Here is a 26,375-nt window from a genome sequence, read left to right on the forward strand (position 1 = left end):
AAATTAGTGGCTACCAGAAACATTGCAAAGATAACTAAAGATATTGATGTGAAACATGGAAGCAGCATCCTCTTACTTAATGTGCTGCTAACGAAATAAATATAAGTAAACCAAGGCTGACTACATATCCCTTATGTTATTTTTTCACCATGGTTCTAATCTTAAGAACATCAAATATATGAGACATGATGAGTGACAATGACAAAGATACTTTGCAATACAGTCTAAACCAAAGCATATGGCATGTGACATATATAGATATGTATAGATCCATTTATTGATATGTGTGTATATATATCTATGTATCTGTATCTCATATGACATGTAATAATATACTGCCAAGAACAAGAGTAGAAGTTATTAAAATATGTTAAAAAAAAACTAATACGAAAGTTAGGATACAAGTCAAGAGAACAAATAATCTAAGAAAAATGGGAATATAGTTTCTTCAGTTGTTTATTCATATGCCAGACAGTGCTAAGTGTTAGAGGTTAAGGATGTGTAACATCTAGTTCACTTCTATATATGCTTACAGTTTGGTAAAGAAGATAAAAATCTGTTAAGCAATGCCTTACACTAGTGGAAAAATTAGAAAAGATTTCCAGATTGGGTGCAGTGGTTCACACCTGTAATCCCAGAACTTTGGGAGGCCGAGGCAGGCAGATCACCTGAGGCAAAGAGTTCAAGACCAGCCTGGCTAACATGGTGAAACCCCATCTCTACTAAAAATACAAAAATTAACCGGGTGTAATGGCGCATGCCTATAGTCCCAGCTAGAGTTCAAGAATCACTTGAATCCAGGAGGCAGAGATTGCAGTGATCCAAGATTGCCCCACTGCACTCTAGCCTGGGCGACAGAGGGAGACTCTGTCTCAAACAAACAAACAAACAAACAACAACAGAAAGACTTCCAAGAGATTGTAAACAAACATGTAAAGTAGAAAATTAGACCAATGAGAATCCTTGAAGTATATTTTGAAGAGTTAAAAAAGCCCAAAAAACAAAAAGGAGAAAATAAATGATTTAAATGTCTATTTTTAAATGTAAGACAAAGGCAATAAAGCTGTTCCTGTAACCAAATTTCTGTTTAGTAGCTCTGTATTGTTACCACAACATACCAATGAGAACTCTGGTTCCACGGAGGAAAACCTTTTCTATGACCCTCTAGAATAGCAAACTCAATGCCAATGGGGGAATTACAGAGTTCTTTTATGGTTTCCTGTGTTTTGTCTGTCAATATTAATGCTAAGGACATTAATTGAGATACATGCTTCTAATTCCCCTTACTTGTATAGAAGTACTGTAGATTAGAGAAAGGATTTCCAAAACTGGGGGAAAAAAGAGTCCCTAAAAAGCAGCACCATAAAGAATTGTAAAAGAGGAGAATCATGTCCTCAAATGTTAAAAGAAGACTTATGGATTAGCCAAGGAAATTCTCACCTTTAAAGAAAAATGAGACATTATGTCAATGATTATGGGGAGGTGGGAGAAAGACAGAAATGCCTCAGAATTGTCTGGATGGTTTTATAAAACCACACCACACACCACACACGTGCATAAACACACACACACACCACACATATGTACCTGTATGATCTGATGTGCTTATGACAGTGGCATGACTCAGAACCAGGGCCATGATGAACCACTACCATTAGGGGAATATGTCTTATCCCTCTGGTGTGCTGGAGATCACAGAGTTATTTAAAAATCAGAGGGCAAGTAGCAGAAGAACTAAGGCAAAAGGAGATGCCTTGTAAAATACATTAACAATAACAGTTAAAGCAACAGAATCAACTCCCACCAATGGAAGAGTAGGGTAAGAGTAGGATACCCTGGTACTTGCCTCACTGAAAATCATCTAGAGCCAATTTAAAAGGAAAGCACAAACAACCCTCCAAAACAAATCCAACATAATCATTTTGTGAAGGGCAAAAATAGCCCCCAAATTACAGAAATGATGCATTTTTTAATTCAACAAAAGACAAGATCAGGAAAAAAATGAGAACAGAGGGCTATAAGTGAAATTTTTGATATTATGCACTTATGAGACACTGAAATATGCAATCCATTTTATTTATTGCTGTGGAAAGTAGTGTGTATATTACTTTATAGTAGAGTTCTACAGGTATAAATTTTATAATTGAAATAGATATTAATTATTACACATAAATGTTACTATTTTTTATTTGAGTTTGGTTATTTTTAGTTAGAAACTGCCTATAGTTTAACCCTGATAACACGGTTAAATTTTTACTTACAAATATAGTAAACTAAAAGAGCTTTTTCATTCTAGCATGCCCATATTGTGGGCTTATGTTTTCACCCTCTGCAATATTCCAAACTTGTCTTTAAAGGAAAATGAGACATTCTATCAATGATTATGGGGAGGTAGGGGAAAGACAGAAATGCCTTAGAATTATCTGGGTGATTTTACAAAACCGCACCACACAGACGCACACGCGTGAGCAAGTGTGCACACATGCATGCGCGTACACACACACAGACGTAGAAGTCCTATTTCTTCAAAGTAAAAACAAGTTGAGTGTTCATACTCTGTATCAGAAAAAAATACCAAAAGTTTAATGAAGAGCTTACTCCCCTTTTGTTTTAATTTACTGAAATCATCTATCTATATATATTTTTAATTGTCAATATTATTTTGGATTTTATCTTTCCAACTACTGTTTTCTTGTTGCTCCTTGAAGAAATTATTTTGGGGAATATGAAGCTTCATGTTTACAGATTTGCAGACCCTTTGATAACACAAGAGGATGACAGAACTGCCTCAGGTTATCTTCTGAGCTGGCAGACTTCTCAAATTTGCACAGACACAACCTTTAGTGACCTTTGGAGCTCTGAAACTACATGAATCATCATTAAAGGAAAATTGAACCAAAGCCACTGGGAAGTTCCTTTTTCAGAGGATTAACTTCGTTTCGTTTCATACATAAGCAATGAAGGTATGTATAGATCCATGTCATTTCTCAGGTCGAGTTAAACTGTCCTGTGATTTAAAAGTTATAGTATGTACATGATTTTATTTGAAACTCTATATAGCTAATAAAGACAAAGAGAACAGCTAATTCGAAATTGCCTGCACAAGAAAATTAAAATTTCCAAAATCTATTATAATTTTGTCACTCTAAATGAAGATTCATGTGACATGTTGGACTCCCATACAGAAGACTACTTCAGGACTGTCTTTCTATAATTACGACTTTCACTTCATTAATAATTATAATGCCTTTTCCTATATGCATCTGTCCAACAGCAAGTGAAGACAGGAATTGCCTGACCTTACACGACAAATAAACTCTCAATTCAAATCATAATGAAGTTGGTAAAACAGTTTGGCTTTAGGGAGATGAAGATGATGTATTGTGGGGAAAAAAGTCTCTTATTACTAAGGTATATTTTATCCCCATATAAAGTAGCAAAATAATATTATTTATTCATAAACAAAAAAGAGTGATCTAAAGGTTTTCCCAAGTTATTTTAGATTGGTGCAAAAGTAATTGCAGTTTTGCCGTTATTTTGATGGCAAATAATATTAACACATCAACATATATAGGATATCAGATCTGAATTTAAAAGGTCAGTTTATAAATTGTATATCGTTCTCTCCAGATATAAAGTGGATTCCAGCACTCTGCACGCCTGAGCCTCTGCTCCTGTGACTATCCTGCCGCCTCTATCCTCACTGCTGCCACCTTGAGGGAGATCGTGCACCTGCAGGCTGGTGAGTTTGGCAACTAGTTCTACGGGGTGATCAGTGATGAGCATGCCATCGAGCCTACTGGCACTTAGCATGCGGATAGCAACCTGCAGCTGGAGTGCATCAGTGTGTACTGCAATGAGACCACAGGTGGCAAGTATGTGCCCCACGCTGAGCTCATGGATCTGGAGCCCAGCACCGGGGACTCTGGTGTGCTCAGGCTCCTTCGTGCAGATCTTACGGCTGGACAACTTCATCTTCCATCAGAGTGGTGCCGGAAACAACTGGGCCAATGGGCACTACGCAGAAGGTGCGGAGCTGGTGGATTCGGTACTGGACATTGTGAGGAGGGAGGCTGAGAGCTGTGACTGCCTGCAGGATTTCCAGCTGACCCACTCCCTAGGAGCAGGGACTGGGCCTAAGAGGGGTACCCCTCTCATCAGCAAGATCCCAGAGAAGTATCCAGACAGGATCTTGAACAAGTTCAGTGTGCCCTTACGCAAGGTGTCAGACATGGGGGTGGAGCCCTAAAACATCACCTTCTCAGTCCACCAACTGGTAGAAAACACAGATATGACCTATTGCATTGATAATGAAACTCTCCATAACGTCTGCTTCAGAACCCTAAAGCTGACCACACCCACCTATGGTGACTTGAACCACTTGGTGTCTGCCGCCATAAGTGGGGTCACTACCTGCCTAGGCTTCCCCAACCAGCTCAATGCTGACCTGCAGAAGCTGGCTATGTACATGGTCCCATTCCCTACCTGCACTTCTTTATGCCTGTCTTCACCCTGCTGACCATCCACAGCAGCCAGCACTACCAGGCCCTCATAGTGCCTGAGCTCACCCAGCAGATGGTTGATGCCAAGAACATGATGGTTCCCTGAGACCCCTGCCATGGCCACTACCTAAAGGTGGCCACAGTGTTCACGGACTACATGTCCATGAAGGAGTTGGATGAGCAAATGCTTAATGTCCAAAACAAGAACAGCAGCTACTTTGTTGAGTGAATCCCCAACTATGTGAAAACAGCTGTCTGTGACATCCCACTCTTGGGGCTATAAATGTCTGCCACCTTCAACATCAACAGCGTGGCCATCCAGGAGCTGTTCAAGCACATCTCTGAGTGGTCATGTTTCGGTGCAAAGCCTTTCTGCACTGGCACATGGGCAAGAGCATGGACTAGATGGAGTTCACCAAGGCTGAGAGCAACATGAACAACCTGGTGTCCCGGTACCAGTAATACCAGGACACCTCAGCCAAGGAGGAGAGAAAGGTTGAGAAGGAGGCCAAGAAGAAGGTGGCCTAGAGCCTTCAGACATGGACACTGGGTAAAGTGGGGAAGCAGTGGGAATTCTATTTACTCACAATCTTTTCTCTGATAACCAGGTCTCACTGTGTGTACACTTGGAGCTCTTCCCGACTTCATAGCACACACTGTACCGACACCATCATTAACAGCATTTTCATAGTGAAAAGAAAGTGCATCCCCCAAGAACCATCTCAAATTCATCTCTGTTGGCCAGGCGCAGTGGCTCACACCTGTGATCCCAGCACTTTGGGAGTCCAAGGCAGGCGGATCACCTGAGGTCAGGAGTTTGAGACCAGCTTGGCCAACGTGGTGAAACCCCATCTCTACTAAAAATATAAAAAAAATAGCCAGGCATGGTGGTGCATGCCTGTAATCCCAGCTACTTGGGAGGCTGAGGCAGGAGAATCTCTTGAACCCAGGAGGCGGAGGTTGCAGTGAGCCAAAATCATGCCACTACACTCCAGCCTGGGCAACAAGAGCAAATCTCCATCTCAAAAAAAAAAAAAAAGTTAATCATTTGTCTCTGTGAGGCTTTGCAAATTTCAAAGCATCCTCGGCATTCTCAGGGGGCTTTCTCTCCTGAGCCTCTGGGATGCATCTTAATCAATTTTATTGCATTTAGTTTGTAGAATAGGTAAATTTGGACAACATGTCAATATCCTAAAACACTGAAAATCCTAAATCCTTGAGGGTGGAAGTTCTTATCGCTTCAAACATACTAGTGCAGGACCTGGATATAGTAGGTGCATGATATTAAAAAAAAAAAAATCAAAGTAGAGATCTTTCACCTCCCTAGTTAGCTGTATTCCTACATAAATTATTTTTTGTGTGTGTGGCTATTGTAAATAGGATTGCATTCTTGATTTGGCACTCATCTTGAATGTTGTTGGTGTATGGAAATGCTACTGTTTTCTGTACACAGGTTTTTTGTGCCCTGAAACTTTGCTGAAGTGGTTTATTAGATGTAAGAGCTTATGTGCAGAGACTCATTAGGGGTTTTCTAAGTATAAAATCATGCTGTCTGCAGAGATAGTTTGACTTCCTCTCTTTCTATTTGGATGCTTTTTATTTCTTTCTCTTGCCAAATTGCTCTGCCTAGGCCCTCCAATACTACATTGAATAGGAGTGGTGAGAGTAGGCATCCTTGTCTTATTCCAGTTTCAAAAGGAATGCTTCCAGCTTTTGCCTGTTCAGTATGATGTTGTCTGTGGGTTTGTTATAGATGGCTCTTATTATTTTGAAGTATGTTCCTTAAATGCCTAGTTTGTTGAAGGTTTTTAACATGAAGGGATGTTAAATTTTATCAAAAGCCTTTTCTGCATCTATTGAGATGATCATGTGGTTTTTGTTTTTAGTTCTGTTTACGTTATAAATCACATTTATTGATTTGCATATGTTGAACCAATCTTGCATCCCAGGGATAATGCCTACTTGATTGTGGTTAATTAGGTTTTTTGATATGCTGCTGGATTATTAACTTTTCTATCAGTGTTTGAATAAAGTAAAAGTCATATGCCTCATGGAAATGCCATTGAGAAGCTTCTTAGAAGTTTGGATTCCTGAATTACATCTTCCATAGACTTCCCAGAATCCACATGACAACAAAATGTACACTCCACTGGTACCATTTAAATTAATAGAACATTGTGCTGGAATTAAGTTGAAAAGCACATTCTTAACATCCCTATTTCAATGATGTAAAAAAAAAAGAAGAAAGAAAGAAATGAAAAGAAAATAAAAAAGAAAAGAAAGGCTTCCTAGAACATCATGGACTACGGAATAAAATTCAAAGAACTCTTTCATTCAACACAATGTAAATTATATTATGGTTCCTTTCCCAAAGCTGACCCTTGCTTATGACATGTTCTATATTCATAATGTTCGTATTCATGAGACTGTCACCTGATAACTTTTGCATAAGTTGTTTGCACCAAGTACCACGACAAAAGCATTTTCATTGTCTTTTTGTTAAAAAACTGATACACAGGAAATAAATCAAGCAAATCATTACATTATCATCATCAGTCCAAATTGTTCATATGTAGATGGAATAAAGTCTTTTATTATTCCAAATATTTTATAAATGTTTAATTGGAATAGTAAAAAATAGAATATTTCCAACTTATTAATTCATTCTCATTCTTTCCTTCTGACCAGGCTTAGGAAACAGAAAAGCAATTTTCTTACCCTACTTCAAAGAGTCCCATGAGACTCATTTCCCCAACAAAAAACTCCCAAATCATCATTAAACCTATAGGTAACAGAAACAAAGATGAAGTTAGTGAGACAAATAATAGCCAAGCCTATGATGTAACAAAAAGTTCTTTATTCTCAGAAAGCTCTTTAGTAAATGAATTGTTCTGTTTGTGAGATATCAGTCTAGACTATAATTCTATTTAGAAAGAGGCTTGGGATTTTACCTCAATGAATGGACTAGTTAGATATCACAATGGAAATTATTATAACCAGGGCCTCTGGAGACAACAAATATAACTTTGTAAGGATTTCCTACTTGGTAATGGAGATAAGAATGTCAGAGTTGTTCAAGGAAAGTTACAATCCACAATCTCTGTTCTCTTTCTAGCAAATATATATTATATAATATATCTTAGTATATATTGTAAGAAATATACTTACTATATGTATTTGTATATATAGTAAGAAGTAATGGTAAATAAAAGGAAGACAGAGCTAATGAAGAAAAGATTCTTTCACCTTATTCGTGCAGGGCCGAAACTGTTAAATATGTGCTGCTTATTAAGAAACTAATGTCTGAAATGGATGCACTTGTCTAATTTTAGCATTTTCCATGTATTATTTTAACATATCTCGGAAAAAGGGACTATAAATCCTAATTCAACTGTGTTACTATAGTAAACATCATATTTACAAGTCATTCTGTGGGAATTATGCAAAGCCGCGTCTCCATTAACACTCCCTTTGTTTCCTCCATTGCCAAATGGAAGAACAGAATAGATACCATCACAATCTTGGATTAAAAAGAATATCTCTCTAGGAAACAAAGCTGAAGGGGGGTTGGTGGGAGAATGAAGTTACTCAAGGGGCATCTGATTAAATGAAAGAAGCCAGGCAGACAGAAGCACAGAGGGTAATAGCTATTTTGATCCAGTGAGTATTGACCACAAAGAAAAAAAAAAAAAAGGATCTACATTGTCACAATTACTCCTATCTGACAAAGTCTAAACGTTTCTAGGTCACCACGTACCGAGTTTTACCAAAGTGACTTTCAGATGTCACATAACTATATAATTTCTCTTTTGGCTGAAGTTAATCACATAAACTAGGAGGTCTTTGAAGACCAGATTGACCCTGATCTGGATGTACTCATTCTTTACAGCTTGTTCAATGAGGAAACTATTGCAGTCTTAGGCAGTCTTAAAAATAACAGAAAGAACATTTTCACAAGAACCTATACATTAGGTGGGGAAGAAATAACCACTTTCAAATAGCTTTTCTTTCCTCCACTTGATTACACTCATTATGTTTTGACGTTAGGCTTTCAAGCTGGTCAACATTTATGGAGACAAGAAAAAAAGGGGTTACAACGACTGGCCACAAACACCACACTTTGATTGGAAAGGAAGAATAATGTCCAAGAATGTGGTGAAATTAGCACACCTAGAGTACTGGGAATATCCAGCTTCAACCTGGAGGATCACAAGAAAGATTTTCCTGGGCGACAAGATGTCAAGGGAAGCACCTCATCTGACTACAGAAAACAACGACATCTGGAGAAGTTATTTCCTGCATAATCGGGAAAAAGAAATGAATCAATCACTTTTAAAACAGGTTCTTCCTTTTCTACTGTCATCTATGCATCATTAATGATTCACTCAAACTACTGAGTTTAAGTTGAGTAACATTTAGATGAACTTATATGGACTATGGCATATTCAGTCACAATTATTCACTTATTTTTCTTAGCTTGTGTTAATCTTCCCAAATCTCACTTAGGTATGATCAGATATGTTTAATCATTTATGAATAAATTGTGTAGTTTTTAATTTTAAAATATTTTGTCAGTTATACATGCACGTATTCAGTCAAACAGTTCTACAAAATCATATATATTTAATGAGTCAAATCGTTGTACATGACTTACTTAGAAAAACATAGCTTCTTTCCACACCTCTTGCCTCCATTCCATCCTCCAGGCAACTATTTTAACTCTTTTAGTTCTTTATCTCTATATAACCTACTTAAACTGCCACACTCTGAATTTTCAGTTTTAGGCATAATCTATGGATTTGGCAGTATGGAAACAGAGACTTACTTCTTTTTCTCTACCCCTACCAAACCCATAAGCACACTCATTTCTCCATTTCCCCAGTATTGTTACATTATCTTTGTGGTTTTATATTCAGTACTAAGCCACACAGTACACAATGGTGATTTGCATAATTGTTTTCTCCCTGCAGTCTTGCATTACTTGTTTCCTTTGTTTATTACGTTTCTAATTCGTCTCCCTCATGCTCCTTATTTGTATAACTCCTTTTTCATTAAGTTGAAACCTGTTACATAGATTCTATTAATTTTATCCCCTGGAGACAACTTCCCAGAGTCTCCTGACCTGGTCCAATATGGACTGCCTGGCTGCTGGGTGCTGCATGGGTCATCAACCTGAGAGCTTTCTGACCACAATCGTGGGTCTCCCACATGTCTCCCTGCATGTCTCTTATGTATTTTATGTCTCTTTTGTCCTCTTTAGATGTCCTCCCATTTTAGTGGAGTGCATTTTCCAGTAGATTCCTGGTAAAGAACCATGGACTTTGTTTCATCATCTTGAAATGTTACTAACGAGAAATTCAATTACATTTTGTTTCTTGATCCTTTTAAGCTATGTTTTTCAATTTTGGAAGTGGTTAGAATCTTCTTATTCCAAATATTCTGAAATCTCTCAATAATATACTATGTGGATTTTGTTTCCATTTATTTCTCACAGCACCTCTTGTGAACATCTTTGGTATGGAGACATAGGTCATTCAGGAGCAGGAAATGATGTTTTGACAATTTTCTCCCTTTTGTTTTCTTCATTCTTTCTTTTCAGTTTCCTAGTATATGGATGTTGGTCCTACCATACAAATCCTCTAGTTTTCTTATCCTCTTGCTCCTAGTTTTTATATCTGCCTTTTAACCTATTTTGTAGGATATTTTACCCTTTGAATGTTTTACTCACTTTTTAGTTTCTGCATTATATATTTAATTCCCATGGGCTCTTTCTTATTCTCTGACTGCTTTTTGTATAGTACTGTGTTCTTGTTTCAGGGATACTATTACATTTCTTTCTGTTTCTTCACTCTCTTTCTCTATATTTTTTCAAATTGTTTTCATTTTTGTTGGTTTTTGGTTAGTGATTTTATTATAACTTGTTTGTTTCACATAGAAGGTTTCTTAAGATGACCATTGAGTCTGAACTGTCAAGTCATAGATAAAAGTAGAACAAAAAGAGCTGATGGAGTTTTGCATGAGAATGGAGCTTTCCACCTATGGGCTTCCCTTAGGAGCTCTGTACTGTGGGGAAGGCAGATCTTGAGAGGAATCATCAGTCTTTGCAAGACAACTACTTCACAGGAAACCATCACAATGTCTACAAGCTAAGGGACACTAACTTCCAGGAGAGAACAGTGCTCTTTTAGAGACCTAGGAGTCTTGGCAGAATTTATGATTCAATTTTCCCAGCTTCCTAAAAATCTGCTCAAATGTTATCATTCTAATTTTCAGTGATCCCACTCCTTCACAACCAATGCCCTAACTTTAACCTAAGATACTCTGTGAGAGTAAAGATAGAATTCATTTTATTATTCAGCCAAATGAAGTATTAGACTTTGGATTTGGTTTCCAGAAACCTTGATCCTGTAATTATAGGAAATAAGGTTTCTTTTAGGGCAGTTACAGAAGCTCTGACCTTTTGCTTATACCTTGATCCGGAACTTAAATTTTCTTTCTCCAAGTTGGTTCCTCTTAGAAATCACCTACAAAACATTATAGTTCTTATGTCCACTAAAAAGTCCTATGGAAGCACCTACATAGTCAACCAAAATCTTGTCTTCTGTCGACATTTGATTACAGGTGACTCTGGGTTAATTTAAGTAAGCCTTTTTCCACCACATACCGTGAAATACCATGTTTGCTTTGATATTGTCAACAAAGTCATTTTAACCAATCAGATCACACAACCAATTCCAGATTCCCATTGTTAAGTTTCTGCTCCTCTGCAACCTCTAGAAATATCATTTAGGGATTAATCAAAAAACAAAACTATTATGAGCATTATGAAATAAAGGATTTATTATAGGAATAAAATCTTATACAATTTTTTTAAAAGCTAGGAAATAAAGGTCTTAAGGGAGCATTGGAGAATTAGGCAGAGGTCACTAACCAGCCTTCCTGAAACATTGGTAGGCATAGATAAGTCAGAGTCTACAAGGAAATATGTCAAAATAAGCACATCCTGTTGCCACAGCGAGACTGCATAGATTAGAGCTGGTAAGAAAGTCCATGGAAGGTGACTGACTCTGTGTTGGGTGGTGATCTAGGATATTCTTTCTACCCAGAGCTAGTAGAAGAAAAACTGGACTTGGAGACAGAAAGAACCAGGACAAGATGGAATTTGTGGGTACCTCTGCATCTGTCTCTCACCACAACTAACATGTTGACCCTCAGAAAGCAATGGTTGTTGCATCACTTCTGCCTTAAAAATCCCGTAAAACATTTTCATTTGGCCAACTCTAGCCTGGAACTGTACAGAGAGGAGGATTCTGGGTGTTGTTGTTTCAGCTTATCCAAACTGACACCATGCAGAATCCATTACAAGTTATGTGTTAAATAACTGACTTGGCAGAAACTTATTATTAAATGAAGAACTATGTTTTCCACACAAAATCCTTAAATGTGTGATACTACTAATCCCATCTCTTGTTTATATGGTCCCTCTACACTTTGATCTTTCTCTTTTTACATCTGTATTCTCAAATTTCTCAATTTTTTAATGCTGGAATGAGAAAAAATAAAATCTTATAGTTTTAAAACTTCACCAATAAGTCATCTAAAGATCAGGTAATGTGAAACCTAAAATTAGTAGTTAAAATAAAATTAATATATTTTTTAGTTTTTCCACTTTGCAGATTTAAGCGAAAATTGATATTGGGGAACTCTTCTTTTAGTTCTTAATTCACTTGAAGTAGAAGAAATATCATTTCAGCTTTTTTGTTGTGTTTATTTGGTAATGAGTTTTCTGTACTTTACTACTTTGATAACTCTTCCAAGGTTTTTTTTTGGACTGAGTCGCTCTATCGCCCAGGCTGGAGTGCAGTGGCGATCTTGGCTCACTGCAACCTCCGCCTCCCAGGTTCAAGCGATTCTTGTGCCTCAGCCTCCCGAGTAAGTGGGATTACAGGTAACTGCCACTATGCCCAGCTAATTTTTTTTTGTATTTTTAGTAGAGAAGGGATTTCACCGTGTTGGCCAGGCTGGTCTTGAACTCCTGACCTCAAATGATCCACCCACCTCAGCCTCCCAAAGTGCTGGGACTATAGGAGTGAGCCACTGCGCCCGCCCGGCCTCTTCCAAGGTCTTAGTGTTTTGTTCATCTTTTTTCTTTAACCATTTATAATAATTTATGCACAGTAGTTAATAAAAAAAAGAATTACAGTGAAATAGTAAAATAAAAATCCTGATATACAGTAATGTCAAATGAAAACAATATTAGTTGAATATTAATATTCAACTAATAATGATTTATGTAATGAACATGCATATAAAAAGCACATAGAAGGTTATTATTATAGTAATTAATCATCAGAATGCATATAATTGAATGTAAGTTTGGAGAAGACAGAAACCGAAGAGACGCAAATTACCCTAGAAAACACCTACTCTGAACTAGGGCCATTCATATCTTCCCACAAAAAGCTATTTTATCTCCTATCTGAGAAAAGATAAATGTCTTTAGAGACATGCAATAAAATCAAGGTCATTTCTAAAATGTGGGGCTAGCTTAAAAGTAAATTTTGTGAAGTGATCCTGGAAGAAGAATATAAACACGTTAGAGGAAAGGTGAACTCAATTAATTTGATCTTCTTTCAAGTGGAATTCTTCAGATCATAGAGAAAGCAGATGGATAGATGACTATCAAGAAATAACAGCAAAGATTACAAGGGCTTTTGCTTCATGCTTATTTACGATATTTATTTTAAAGATTTATAAACATTCATATTTATATGAACTTACATGTGGATCTTATGGGTTTATAGATAAAGACAATGTTAGAGTTAATATTACAAATACATTTAGACTGTGAGTAATTTTCTCGAATTTTAATGAAATCCTATATAATAGCTTACTTCAAGTTGCCAAACAAAATGTAAATTTCTTCCTACTAATGTTGCAATAACATTATTCTGAAAATCTTTTTACTTGATTTAAATTGTTTCTTTTCCATTGGCTTCATTATTTTTTTATGTTTTACCCATGATAACACTAAAAGGGACAAATTGGCCTACTAGTTTTCTCACTACTCTCCCCTTCAACAATTTCTCTACAGAAAAGGTTTCTTTAGTTATTTAGTTAATTGCATTCTGTTATAAAGTCATCAAGATAATTTTATAAGTTTGAATCAAATGCTAATATTCTCTATTCTGGACAAACAAATGTTGCACATGTAGGGTGGGAAATGGGATCTGCATTTATGATCCCTAAATGGCTTAATATTAAACTTTCTGATTATTATTATTAGTTAATTTGTACTAATTAGCTTTTTTTTAAGGAAAATAAAATATAGAACTATCGGACATAAGAACCATAATGGAATTCATTCAGCATCAGTTACTGAACTCCCTAAGTTACCATTTGAAATATCAGTTAAAAGCCATGATAGATGACATTTTTTGATAACTGACTCTTTAATCCATTTTTGACAAAATTAAAATTAAATTAGTTTTTAAGTTGTAAGTGACCATTAAACTATTAATTTGGCTCAAGAGAGATTTAGCTTGGTTTATTATTATGTAGTGTTTTTGTTGCAGTTATTAGCCTTGAGAACAAGGACTTCATTGAACTTGTTTGCTGTTATATGCTAAGTGCCTATAGTTATACCTGTTCCAGATTCATCACTCAATGAGTAGTTGTGGAAGGATGAAAGAAAGGAAGAAAACAATTTCTCTTTTACTCAGATTTTTCTCAGAATATAGTGAGCTCTCACCAACATGAAAGACTTGCACATTTGTAGAGTGCTATTATGTTTATTAATGTATTTTCACATATACTGTTAAAATACAATTTCATAGTAACTTTGATTATAGAATGGGCAGTTTTATTTCCATTTATTTATTTTTAATAAATGTTATTTTAGATTTATTTTTAATAAACTGTTATTGTTGATTCACAGTGATATGGGCAAATTTGTTATACGGGTAAAATGCATGCCACAGAGGTTTAGTGTACAGATCATTTTGCCACCCAGGAAGTAAGCATATGACCCAATAGTCTTTTGACGCTTGCCCTCCTTCATCCCTCTACCGTCAAGTAGGACCTGGTGTCTGTTGTTCCCTTCTTTGTGTCCATATGTACTCAAGGTTTAGCTCCCACTTATAAGTGAAAACATGTGATATTTGATATACCATTCCTGTGTTGGTTCACTGAGGATAGTGGCCTCCAGCTCCATCCATGTTGCTACAAAGTACATGATCTCATTCTTTTTTATTGCTGCTTAGTATTCTACGGTGTATATGTGCCACATCTTCTTTATCCAGTCTACTGATGGGCATTTAGGTTGATTCCATGTCTTTGCTATTGTGAATAGTGCTACAATGAACATACAAGTGCATCTATCTTTATGGTAGAATGATTAACATTCCTCTGGGTGCATACCCAGTAATGGGGTTCGTGGTTTGCATGGCGATTCTGCTTTGAGTTATTTGAGAAATCTCCAAACCGCTTTACACAATGCTGAAACTTATTTACATTTTCACCAGCAGAATAGAAGCACTCTCTTTTCTCTGCAATATCACTGGCATCTGTTTTTTTGACTTAATAATAGCCATACGGATTGATGTGAGATAGTATCTCATTGTGTTTTTGCTTTGCATTTCCCTAATGATTAGTGATGCTGAGCATTTTTTCATGTGTTTGTTAGCCATGTGTATGTCTTTTTTTGAAGTGTCTGTTCATGTCCTTTGCCCACTTTTTAATGGGGTTGTTTGGTTTTTGCTTGTTAATTTGATAAATTTCCTTATATATGCTGGATATTAGACCTTTGTCAGATGCATAGTCTACAAATATTTTCTCCCATTCTGTAAGTTGTCTGTTTACTCTGTTGATAGTTTCTTTTGCTGTGCAGAAGCTCCTTAGTTTAATTAGGTCCCATTTGTCAATTTTCATTTTGTTACAACTGCTTTTAGCATCTGTGATGGTTAATATTGGGTGTCAACTTGATTGGACTGAAGGATGCAAAGTATTATTCCTGGGTGTGTTTGTGAGGGTGTTGCCAAAGGAGATTAACATTTGAGTGAGTGGACTGTGAGAGGCAGATGCACCCTCAATCTGGGTGGGCACCATCTAATCAGCTGCCAGCTGCAGCCAGAATAAAGGCAGGCAGAAGAACATGAAAAGACTGGACTGGCTTAGTCTTCTGGTCTCCATCTTTCTCCCATGCTGGATTCTTCCTGCCCTCAAACATCAGACTCCAGGTTCTTCAGCTTTGGGACTCTTGGACCTTCAACCAAAGACTGCAGGCTGCACTGTCAGCTTCCCTGCTTTTGAGGTTTTGGGACTCAGACTGGCTTCCTTGCTCCTCAGTTTGCAGACAGCCTATTGTGGGACCTCACCTTGTGATCGTGTGAGTCAACATTTCTTAATAAACTCCACTTTATCTGTACATCTATCCTATTAGTTCTGTCCCTTTAGAAAACCCTGACTCATATAGCATCTTTGTCATAAAATTGTTCCCAGGGGCTATGTCCAGAATGATATTTTTTAAGTTTTCTTCATGAGTTTTTACAGTTTTAGGGTTTACACTTAAGTCTTTAATCCATCTTGAGTTGATTTTTGAACATGGTAGAAGTAAGGGGTCCAGTTTCAGTGTTCTGCCAATGGCTACCCAGTTATTCCAGCACCATTTATTGAATAGAAAGTCCTTTCCCTACTGCTTGTTTTTTTGTCAATTTTGTTGAAGATCAGATGGTTGTAAGTGTGTGTCTTTATTTCTGGACTCTCCATTCTGTTCCGTTGGTCTATGTGCCTGTTTTTGTACCAGTACCAAGCTGTTCTGGTTACTGTAACCTGGCAGTACAATTTGAAGTTGAGTAATGTGATACATCCAGCTTTTCTCTTTTTCTTAGGATTGTATTGGTTATTTGGGCTCTTTTTTGGTTCCATGTAAATTTTAGAATAATTTTTTTCTAATTCTTTGAAAATATTATTGGTAGTTTGATAAGAATAGCATTGAATCTGTAAATTGCTTTGGGCAGTATGGCCATTTTAACAATATTGATTCTTCCTATTCATGAGCATGGAATGCTTTTCCATTCCTTTTATAGTCTCTGATTTTTATTTTTATTTTCAGCTGTTGTAGAGATCTTTCACTGCCCTGGTTAGCTGTATTCCAAGGTATTTTATTATTCTTGTGGCTGTTGTGAACGGGATTGTGTTCTTGATTTGGCACTCAGCTTGAATGTTGTTGGTGTATAGAAATGCTACTAATTTTTGCGCATTGATTTTGTATGAACTTTGCTGAAGCTGTTTATCAGATTTAGGTGTCTTTGGGCAGAGACTGGGATTTTCTAGGTATAAAATCATGTTGTCTGCAAACAGAGATAGTTTCACTTCCTGTCTTCCTATTTGGATACATTTCATCTCTTTCTCTTGCGCGACTGCTCTGGCTACAACTTCCAGTACTATGTTAAAGAGGAGTGGTGAGAGTGGCCATCCTGGTCTTGCTCCAGTTTCAGGGGGAATGCTTCCGGCTTTGGCCATTCGGTATAATGTTGGCCGTGGGTTTGTCATAGCTTTTCTTACTTTGAGGTATGTTCCCTTGATATCTAGTTTGTTGAGGGTTTTTAACATGAAGGGATGTTGAATTTATCTACAGCCTTTTCCTTATCTATTGAGATGATCATGTGTTTTTTGTTTATAGCTCTGTTTATATGATGAATCACATTTATTGATTTGTGAATGTAGGGAAGAGCCAAACTTACATCTCAGGAATAAAACCTACTTGATCATGATGGAGTCACTTTTTGACGTGCTGCTAGATACAGTTTGCTAGTGTTTTGTTGAGGGCTTTTGCATCTATATTCATCAAAGAGATCAGCCTGAAGTTTTCTTTTTTGGTTGTGTCTCTGCCAGATTTTGGTTTTGGAATAAAGCCGGCCTCAACTATGAATTAGAGGAGTCCCTCCTTCTCAATTTTTTTGAATAATGTCAGTAGGATTGGTACCAGCTCTTCCTCATACATCCAGTAGAATTCAGCTGTGAATCTGTCTGGTCCAGGGCTTTTTCTTGTTGATAGGCTTTTTATTACTAATTCAATTTTGGAGATCATTATTGGTCTGTTTAGGGTTTCAGTTTCTTTCTGGTTCAATCTTGGGCAGTTGTATGTTTCCAAGAATGTATCCATCTCTTCCAGGTTTTCTAGCTTGCATGCATAGAGGTGTTTACAATACTCTCTGAGGGCTTCTGGTATTTCTGTGGGGTAGACGGTAATGTGCCCTTTGTCATTTCTGATTGTGTTTATTTGGAGCTTCTCCTTTGTTATTAGTTCAGCTAGCAGTCTATCTATCTTAGTAATTCTTTCAAAGAACCAAACCTGGATTTGTTGATCTTTTGTATGATTTTCCACCTCTCAGTTTCCTTCAGTTCAGCTCTGATTTTGGTTATTTCTTATCTTCTGCTACCTGCAAAGATTTGCTTTTGTTTTTTAGTTCCTCTAGATGTGATATTAGGTTGTTGATTTGAAATCTTTCTAACTTTTTGATATGGTGTTTAGTGCTGTAAACTTTCCTCTTAACAATGCTTTAAGCTGGAAAAAGTGATTTATGCCTGTAATCCCAGCACTTTGGGAGGTTGAGGTGGGCAGATTGCTCGAGTCTGTAAGTTTGAGACCAGCCTGGGCAACAAAACAAGACCCTGTCTCAAATAAATAAATAAATAGGCCTTTGCTGTTTCCCAGAGATCCTAGTATGCTGTATCTTCTGTTTTCATTAGTTTCAATGAATTTCTTGAATAATACCTTTATTTCATTGTCTATCCAAAAGTCATCCAGGAGAACATTGTTTAGTTTCCATGTAATTGTTTGGTTTTGAGAGATCTTCTCAGTATTGATTTTTATTTTTAATGCACTGTGGTTTGAGAGTATGGTTGGTATGATTTCAGTTTTTTTAATTTTTTGAGAATTGTTTTATGGCCAATTGTGTGGTTGATTTTAGAGTATGTGCTGTGTGCAGATGAGAAGAATATTCTCATACTATATTCTGTTGTTGAAAGGAGTGTTCTTTAGATGTCTGTTAGGTTCATTTGGTCAAGTGTTGAGTTCAGGTCCTGAATATTGTTTTAGTTTTCTGCTTTGATGATCTGTCTAATACTATCAGTGGGGTGTTGAAGTCTCCCACTATTATTGTGTGGTTATCTAAGTCTGTTTGTAGATCTCTAGGAATGCGTTTTATGAATCTGGGTGATCCAGTGTTGGATGCATATATATTTAGGATAGTTAAGTCTTGCTGAATTGTACCCTTTTTCATTATGTAATGCCTTTTATTATTATTATTATTGTTGTTGTTGTTGGTTTAAAGTCTGTTTTGTCTGAAATCAGAATAGCAACTCCTTTTGTATTTTCAGTTTGCTTAGTATATTTTTATCTATCCCTTTTCTTTGATCCTATGGGTGTCATTGCATGTGACATGGGGTCTCCTGAAAACAGCACACAGTCAGGTCTTTCTTCTTTATTCAACATGCCTCTATGCCTTTTCAGTGGGGCATTTCACCCATTTATGTTCAAGGATAATATTGATATGGGCAGATTTGGTCCTGTCATCATGTTGTTAACTGGTTTTTATGCAAGCTTGATCTTGTAGTTGTTTTATACTGTCAGTGGTCTGTATGCTTAAGTGTGTTTTTGTGGTGGCTGGCAATGATCTTTCCTTTCCATGTTTAGCACTTCTTTAAGGATCTCTTGTAAGATAGGTCTGGCGGTAATGTATTCCCTTAGCATTTACTTGTCTGAAAAGGATCTTATTTTTCTTTTGCTTATGAAGCTTAGTTTGGCTGGATATAAAATTCTTGGTTGGAATTTGTTTTCTTTAAGGATCCTAAATATTGCTGCTCAATCTTTTCTGGCTGGTAGCGTTTCTGCTGAAGGGTCTGCTGTTAGCCCAATGGTGTTCTCTTTGTAGGTGACCTGCCCCTTTTCTCTAGCTGCCTTTAATATTTTTTTATTCACATTGACCTTGGAGAACCTGATGACTATGTGGGGATGATCGTCTTGTGTAGTATCTCACAGGAATTCTCTGAATTTTCTGAGTTTAAGTATTGACCTCTCTAGGGACTTTGGGGAAATTTTCATGGACAATATCCTCAAACTTGTTTTCCAAGTTGCTTGCTCTTTCCTTCTCTTTCAGGGACACCAGTGAGTCATAGGTTTGGTCTCTTTATATAATCCCATATTTCTCAGGTTTTGTTCATTCTTTATTTGAGAGAGAGTCTAGCTGTGTCACCCAGGCTGGACTGCAGTGGCACAATCTCGGCTCACTGCTGCAATCTTCGCTCCTGAGTTCAAGTGATTCTCCTGCGTCAGTCTCCTGAGTAGCTGGGATTACGGGCTCTCACCACCACACCTGGCTAATTTTTGTACTTTTAGTAGAAACAGGGTTCCACTATGTTGGCCAGGCCAGTATTGAACTCCTGGCCTCAAGTGATCCACCCTCCTCAGCCTCCCAAAGTGCTGGAATTACAGGTATGAGCCACCATGCCTGTCAGATTTTGTTCTTTTTCTTGTATGGTTGTATTGAATTCCTTAGATTCCTTGCATTAGGTTTTGATTTTCTACTGAGTCTCAACGATCTTCGTTCTTATCCAGAGTCTTTTTTCAGACTGGTTAAGAACAGCTGCTGGTGAACTAGTACGGTCATTTGGAGGTAAGAAGACTCTCTGGCTTTTTGAGTTGCCAGAGTTCTTGCACAGGTTGTTTCTCATTTGTGTGGGCTGATGTTACTTTAATCTTTGAAGCTGCTCTCCTTGGATAAATTTATTTGCTTTTACATTCCTTGATCTCATTGACAGTTTGACTGTGGTATAAGGTAGGTTCAATCACCTAGCTTTGTTTCTGTAAGATTTCAGGTGGCCAACACTCAACTTAGAGCTTCTGGACTCATGCTCTAGCCCTAGGGGGCTGGAACCAGGCACACAGCTTGGTTCTCTGACCCCTTGAGATTAGGAACCCACTGCATTGGAGAAGCCAAAGTGTTCCAGGTCCATTGGCAACAAGACTCCAGTGAAGCAGTGCCAACCAAAGCACTTCATTAGTGCCATGGCAGCAGGGTAGACACTTGCACACACAGGCCAGCAGCAACAGCAGCATGGCAGGATATATGTGCATTGGTGAGGGCAGGGCACAGGTGAAGGTGGGGCAGTGGTGTCCATGTGTGCTTGTGCTCTCAGCAGCAACATGGTGGGGTGAGCGCACATGCCTGCCTTTGGGGGCAGTGCAGTGTGGTCCATCCATACACACTCCAGCAAAGTGGTGGGGGAGCTATGAGCAAGTTCATGCCAGCAAAGCAATGGGAGAAGGCTGCAGGGCCAGGAGGATGTGGGTAGGGGTAAGCATAAATAACTTTAAAGAACCTCAAAGGCATCAAGATTTACATAGTTCTTTCTAAAAGAATGCATAAAAATGCACTTCATTTTTGCATCTCAGATAAAATATGTAATTAAAACTCTGTGGTCTAATACTACCACGTAGCTACATGGAAAATGACAAAATTCAGACACATGAGTCCAAATGCTATCTTATTTATTATAAGATAAAGTGCCAGCTTTAAATAAGACTGTCTTCAAGATCATGGTGGAAATCATAAAGAATAAGTAGAAACCTGTTGACTATTTTACTCTCTTCAGCAGTTTCTCTTCACAACTGAACATTTCATGTTGCTAACAGAGAGCAGGCACTGGAATGGAGATAAATTTATGTGTACATATTTTTCTCAGCACAAAATTAGGGGGAATGACCTAGAAAATCATGGAATTAGCAATTTTCTAGTGTTAATATAATTATGATTATAATTATTATACATTCTATTTTTAAAAACTTAGAAACAAAAAGTATTCCAGAGAAAATTGACCATAATCACATCAAGCACTGACCGTCACACTTTCTGCATTTCTTGCTATTCTTCTATGCATAATTTATATCATTTTGTAAATGTCTTTACTGTGTTTGCACAAGTAACCTGGTTCTAGGGGGATAAAAAGTATGTATCCAGACATTGACATTCTTTGTTACTGTGACTAAAGTAGCATGACTTTGGAGAGTGGAAGGTAGGAGAAATTCAATTGCTTCTGAGGCAGCTGCTGTTGCACATGTCCCTTATCAATGTGGTCATTTATATACATAATTTCTGATTTTGCTTCATCTTGTTTTTACAGGAAAGAAGGGGTTAATAATCCAGATGTTAAGGTAATTTTTAATGGTAAACACTATGTCTTCTTTTCCTCCTTTTATTCTGTCATTTTTCTAGTGGCTCTGCTATGGTGTAAATAGGCATAGATGGCAAGTAAATTCTTGCTATTAATAGTTAGATTATGAATGTTTGTACATGACTAACATTATTATAAGTTAGAATGGATGAACTGTACTTTCATCAGCTTGAATTCTAATGTGCTTTCTGAGCAGTAGTGACAGGAAGGATGGAGTTGAAATGGGCATGGTGGATTTGGACACAGCCCCAGGCACAGCTGTGGAATGTGCTGTGTGTGAATGTTCCGTGGGGAGTATCACCTCAGAGAGGAGCTGAAATACCTGCTGTACTACATCTTCTCCTTTTTGTCTTTCTAAGGGTAAATACAAATTAAAAATAAGAGGCTTAACTTTACCTTTTTAAAATAATGGAAGGGACTCCTTGCTACCCCCCCATCCTTTTATTTCAGCTTTTGTTTTAGAAAACTTTGTGAAAATTGTAATTTCTGTTTCTGACCCTTTGAGATTTATGAAATTCTTTCTAAAACGATTTCTTTAAAATATGCCTTTTGCCAGTTTTACCACAAAGGAGTATTTCTCTCAGGGAACATTTCTACATTGCTGGTGGGAATGTAACTAGCACAACCACTGTGGAAAACAATGTGGAGATTCCTTAAAGAACTAAAAGTAGAACTACCACTTGATCCAGCAGTCCCATTACTGGGTATCTACCCAGAGGAAAAGAAGTCATTATACTAGAAAGATACTTGCACACACGTTTGTAGCAGCACAATTCGCATTTGCAAAAATATGGAACCAACTCAAATGCCCATCAATCAACAAGTGGATAAAGAAACTGTGGTACATATATATATATATGATGGACTACTACTCAGCCATAAAAAGGAATGAATTAATGGCATTCATAATGACCTGGATGGGATGGAGACTATTATTATTATTATTATTATTATTATTATTTGAGACAGAGTCTTGCTCTATCGCCCACGCTGGAATGCAGTGGCATGATCTTCATTCACTGCAACCTCCACCTTCTGGGTTCAAGCAATTCTCCTGCCTCAGCCTCCCGAGTACCTGGGATTACAGGTGTCTGCCACCATGCCTGGCTAATTTTCGTATTTTTAGTAGAGACAGGGTTTCACCATGTTGGCCAGGCTGGTCTCAAACTCCCGACATCAGGTAATCTGCCCACCTCAGCCTCCCAAAGTGCTGGGATTACAGGCATGAGCCACTGCGCCCGGCCTGGAGACTATTATTCTGAGTGAAGTAACTCAGGAGTGGAAAACTCAACATTGTATGCTCTCACTTATAAGTGAGAGCTAAGCTATGAGGATGCAAAGGCATAAGAATGACACAATGGACTTTGGGGTGTCAGGGGGAAAGGGTGGGAAAGGGGTGATGGATAAAAGACTACAAATAGGGTTCAGTATATACTGTTTGAGTGATGGGTGGACCAAAATCTCACAAATCACCACTAAAGAACTTACTCATGTAACCAAATACCACCTGTTCCCCAAAAACTTATGGAAATAATTTTTTTTTTAAAAAAAAGAAATATTTTTCTCGAGATCTAGATCTTTTTGTAATGTAATCATCAAGGAAGATAGAGTATTTATCTCCCTGTTTCTGTGGGAGGCTAGAAGCCTTGATTCAGCTTGCAAAACTACCTTCTGTCATAAAAATATGACAATTGTGTTTTTTACATAAAAGTAATTATCAAACCTGGATGGTTACCCCAATTACTAAGTGAAATTATCAGGAACATGAACTGGAGCAGTCAACTCCTCTTACTTGATGGCTAGTTATCGTTTATCTTGAGACAATGTATGTAACAGATTGGATTTGTAAATATCTGTCTGCAATGTAAAAGGGTAAAATTTCTGTTTTTGCAATCTCTTTAGCAGATTGCTTGTGATGTGACTCACATTCTGATTTAATGCTCATTCAATAATGAAACTTTTTTCTTCTTTTTTTTTTTGGAGAGGATCTTTTGGGTTAGGAGGTGTTATGGACTGAATTTTGCCCCCCTAAAATTAATATGTAGAAGTTCTAACCCTCAACACCTCAAAATGTGACTGTATTTGGAGACAGATAGGGTCTTTAAAGTGGTAATTTAGTTAAAATTAGGTCCTAAGGGTGGGGCCCTAATTCAATATAACTGAGGACCTTATAAGAAAAGGAGATTAAGACACAGATACACACAGAGGGAGGACGACATGAAGACACGTGGAGAACATTGACATCTACAAGGCAACGTTAAGAGGCCTCAGAAGAAACAAGCCTGCTAACCCCTTGATCTCAAATTTCTAGCCTCCAGAAGTGTGGGAAAATTAATTTATGTTATTTAACCCACCCAGTCTATGATCCTCTGTTTTGGCAGCCCTAGCAAACTAATACAGCCCATTTTGTTTTTCATTTTTGGGGGGGAAATTTCATTTCCCCATAACCTCGCATTCTTAGTTTCCTCCTTCATTAATTCTTGCCCTCCACAAATATTTACTGAACATGTATTATATACGTCATGTTATTGGCTAGGTTCTAGCAAGGCAAAGTTGAATAAAACATTACCTTTTCCCGATAGAATTTAAGACTACAGTAAAAGACAAACAAAGAAATGAAAAAACATTAAATGTAACAGATAAGGCTGAGAGCTTCATTTATGTTGTTCCACAATACATTCAGTGCCTAACTCAGGGCACAATCCATAATAAGCACTAAATAAATACTTGTTAAGTGAATGAGGGCATGCAAAGAGAAGGAGCATACAAACTAGACTTGTGGATTAGGAAGGGCATCTGTATTAGTTTGTTCTCATGCTGCTAATAAAGACATACCAAAGACCAGGTAATTTATAAAGGAAAGAGGTTTAATTGACTCACAGTTCAGCAGGGCTGGGGAGATCTCAGTAAACTTACAATTATGGTGGAAAGAAAAGTAAACATGTCCTTCTTCACATGGCGGCAGGGAGAAGAACGAGTGCCCAGTGAAGGGAGTAGCCCCTTATAAAACCATCAGATCTCGTGAGATCAAACTCACTATCATGAGAACAGGATAGGGGAAACTGCACCCATGATTCAATTATCTCCACCGGCCCCTCCCATGACACATGGGGATTTATTAACTTCTAAGAGAAAAAATGTTTAAGTTGCATTTTAAAGAGGAAATAGGAGTAAACTATTTGTAGGTAGGAAAAAAATTCCAGGATAACGAAACAGCATGTTTTCCTACAATATGGTGTAAATCAGCAGAATACAATTAAGGGACTTTCCACTGTAATTGGAGCAAAGAATGTTAATGTAGAAGTGAAAAATATGAGATTTCAGAATTAGGCTGACCCTTTACCATCTGGGTCCAATCTTATTGCTTGTCTTTTGTCCCCAAAACTAAGAAAAACTACTAAAGAATTTATATACAGCAAGTGACATTATGGGGCCAATTTAAAAACAGAAAATCGGTGATTGCAGATGAATGAGATGAGAAGGAGTGAAGGCATGTAATACAACAAAGGCAGACAGAAAGAAAACAAGCACAAGAACAGGTGAGAAAACAATCACGAAAGGAAAGGTTGTTTGAGCAGGAATCCTACAGGATATTAATCGCATAAGTAAGTTAGTAAATCAGGAAACAGGAAGCTATATGCGATTGTTACTACTCTTACTTTCACACTTTCCATTGTAGACATTTCATCAGACAAGTAATGAAAGGATTTCTAAAAAGGATTTATGAACTCCTAAAACTAAAACTGTCTATTTGTTCTATTTTTTCCATGAAAATAGTGCCCTTTTCAGTTTGTTTTCATGAGATTTTATTTTGTTGGTGGTGGTTTTGTTGATGCTGTTGTTTTATTTTCATGAGATTGTAAACAGTCCCCGTTAGATACCATACTCTGACAATCTATAAAACAAATGAAATAATCAACATATGCTTGGCTTTATGAAAAAGAAAATACTATTCCACATTAACTGTAAAGACAGCAAAAAAGGAATCACAGTGGGAAAAACTGAGTGTAGTTGCTTTAGAACAGAAATTATTAACTGTTATAATACATAAACATGTAAAAATGAAAGGCAGCTCCCACCTCAGTCAACCAAATCTCTAATGGTAGAGCAACCATCATAGATTCCACTAGCACAAGTGAGTATTGAGTTGAAGGCTGCAAATTTGCAACACCCACTAAAACCATTTACATGTAAATGACCCTTTCTCTTGCACATAGTCGATTTTAGACTGCTCGGCATCAAACTTTTTAGCATGCAGTTTGTGCAGCGTAATGAGGTGAGTGGAGAAGGAGAAAGAATTAGTATAAACTGCTGCACTTTCCTGGGACTTGTATTGCTTTTGCCTTTTTCTGGAACAGTGGCTTCCTGGCCTTTTCTCTTACTCAATGTACCTTCTCCATGAAAAGCTAATAGCAAATAACAAAGTAACCTAAGAAGGAGAAAAGGAGAAATGAATATTAGAAACTCACTATTTGCAGCTCAGAAATTGTGTTAGGTATTTTCTTGGGCTCTCTAATTTAATTTAAATTGCAATAGCAAATTTAGGCAAACTCTACCTCAATCTCTCTTCATTTTTTTTCCAAGACACATTCACTTCAACCAGACACATTACATTCACTTTGAAAAATTAATGCAAAT

General features: G+C 37.3%; 1 pseudogene, besides 2 other annotated features; it reads left to right on the forward strand.

The window, feature by feature from the left end:
* On the forward strand, nucleotides 3,647-5,195 carry TUBB4BP7 (TUBB4B pseudogene 7; annotated as a pseudogene).
* Nucleotides 20,212-20,713: an enhancer, noted in NCBI's record as "H3K4me1 hESC enhancer chr6:153235625-153236126 (GRCh37/hg19 assembly coordinates)". NCBI's record gives its function as "activates a minimal SCP1, AML or CMV promoter by ChIP-STARR-seq in naive H9 embryonic stem cells {active_cell/tissue: H9 hESC(naive)}" and the evidence as "EXISTENCE:reporter gene assay evidence [ECO:0000049][PMID:30033119]".
* Nucleotides 20,714-21,213: an enhancer, noted in NCBI's record as "H3K4me1 hESC enhancer chr6:153236127-153236626 (GRCh37/hg19 assembly coordinates)". NCBI's record gives its function as "activates a minimal SCP1, AML or CMV promoter by ChIP-STARR-seq in naive H9 embryonic stem cells {active_cell/tissue: H9 hESC(naive)}" and the evidence as "EXISTENCE:reporter gene assay evidence [ECO:0000049][PMID:30033119]".

The sequence above is a fragment of the Homo sapiens genome, chromosome 6 (genome assembly GCF_000001405.40).
Source record: "Homo sapiens chromosome 6, GRCh38.p14 Primary Assembly".
Lineage (NCBI taxonomy): Eukaryota > Metazoa > Chordata > Mammalia > Primates > Hominidae > Homo > Homo sapiens.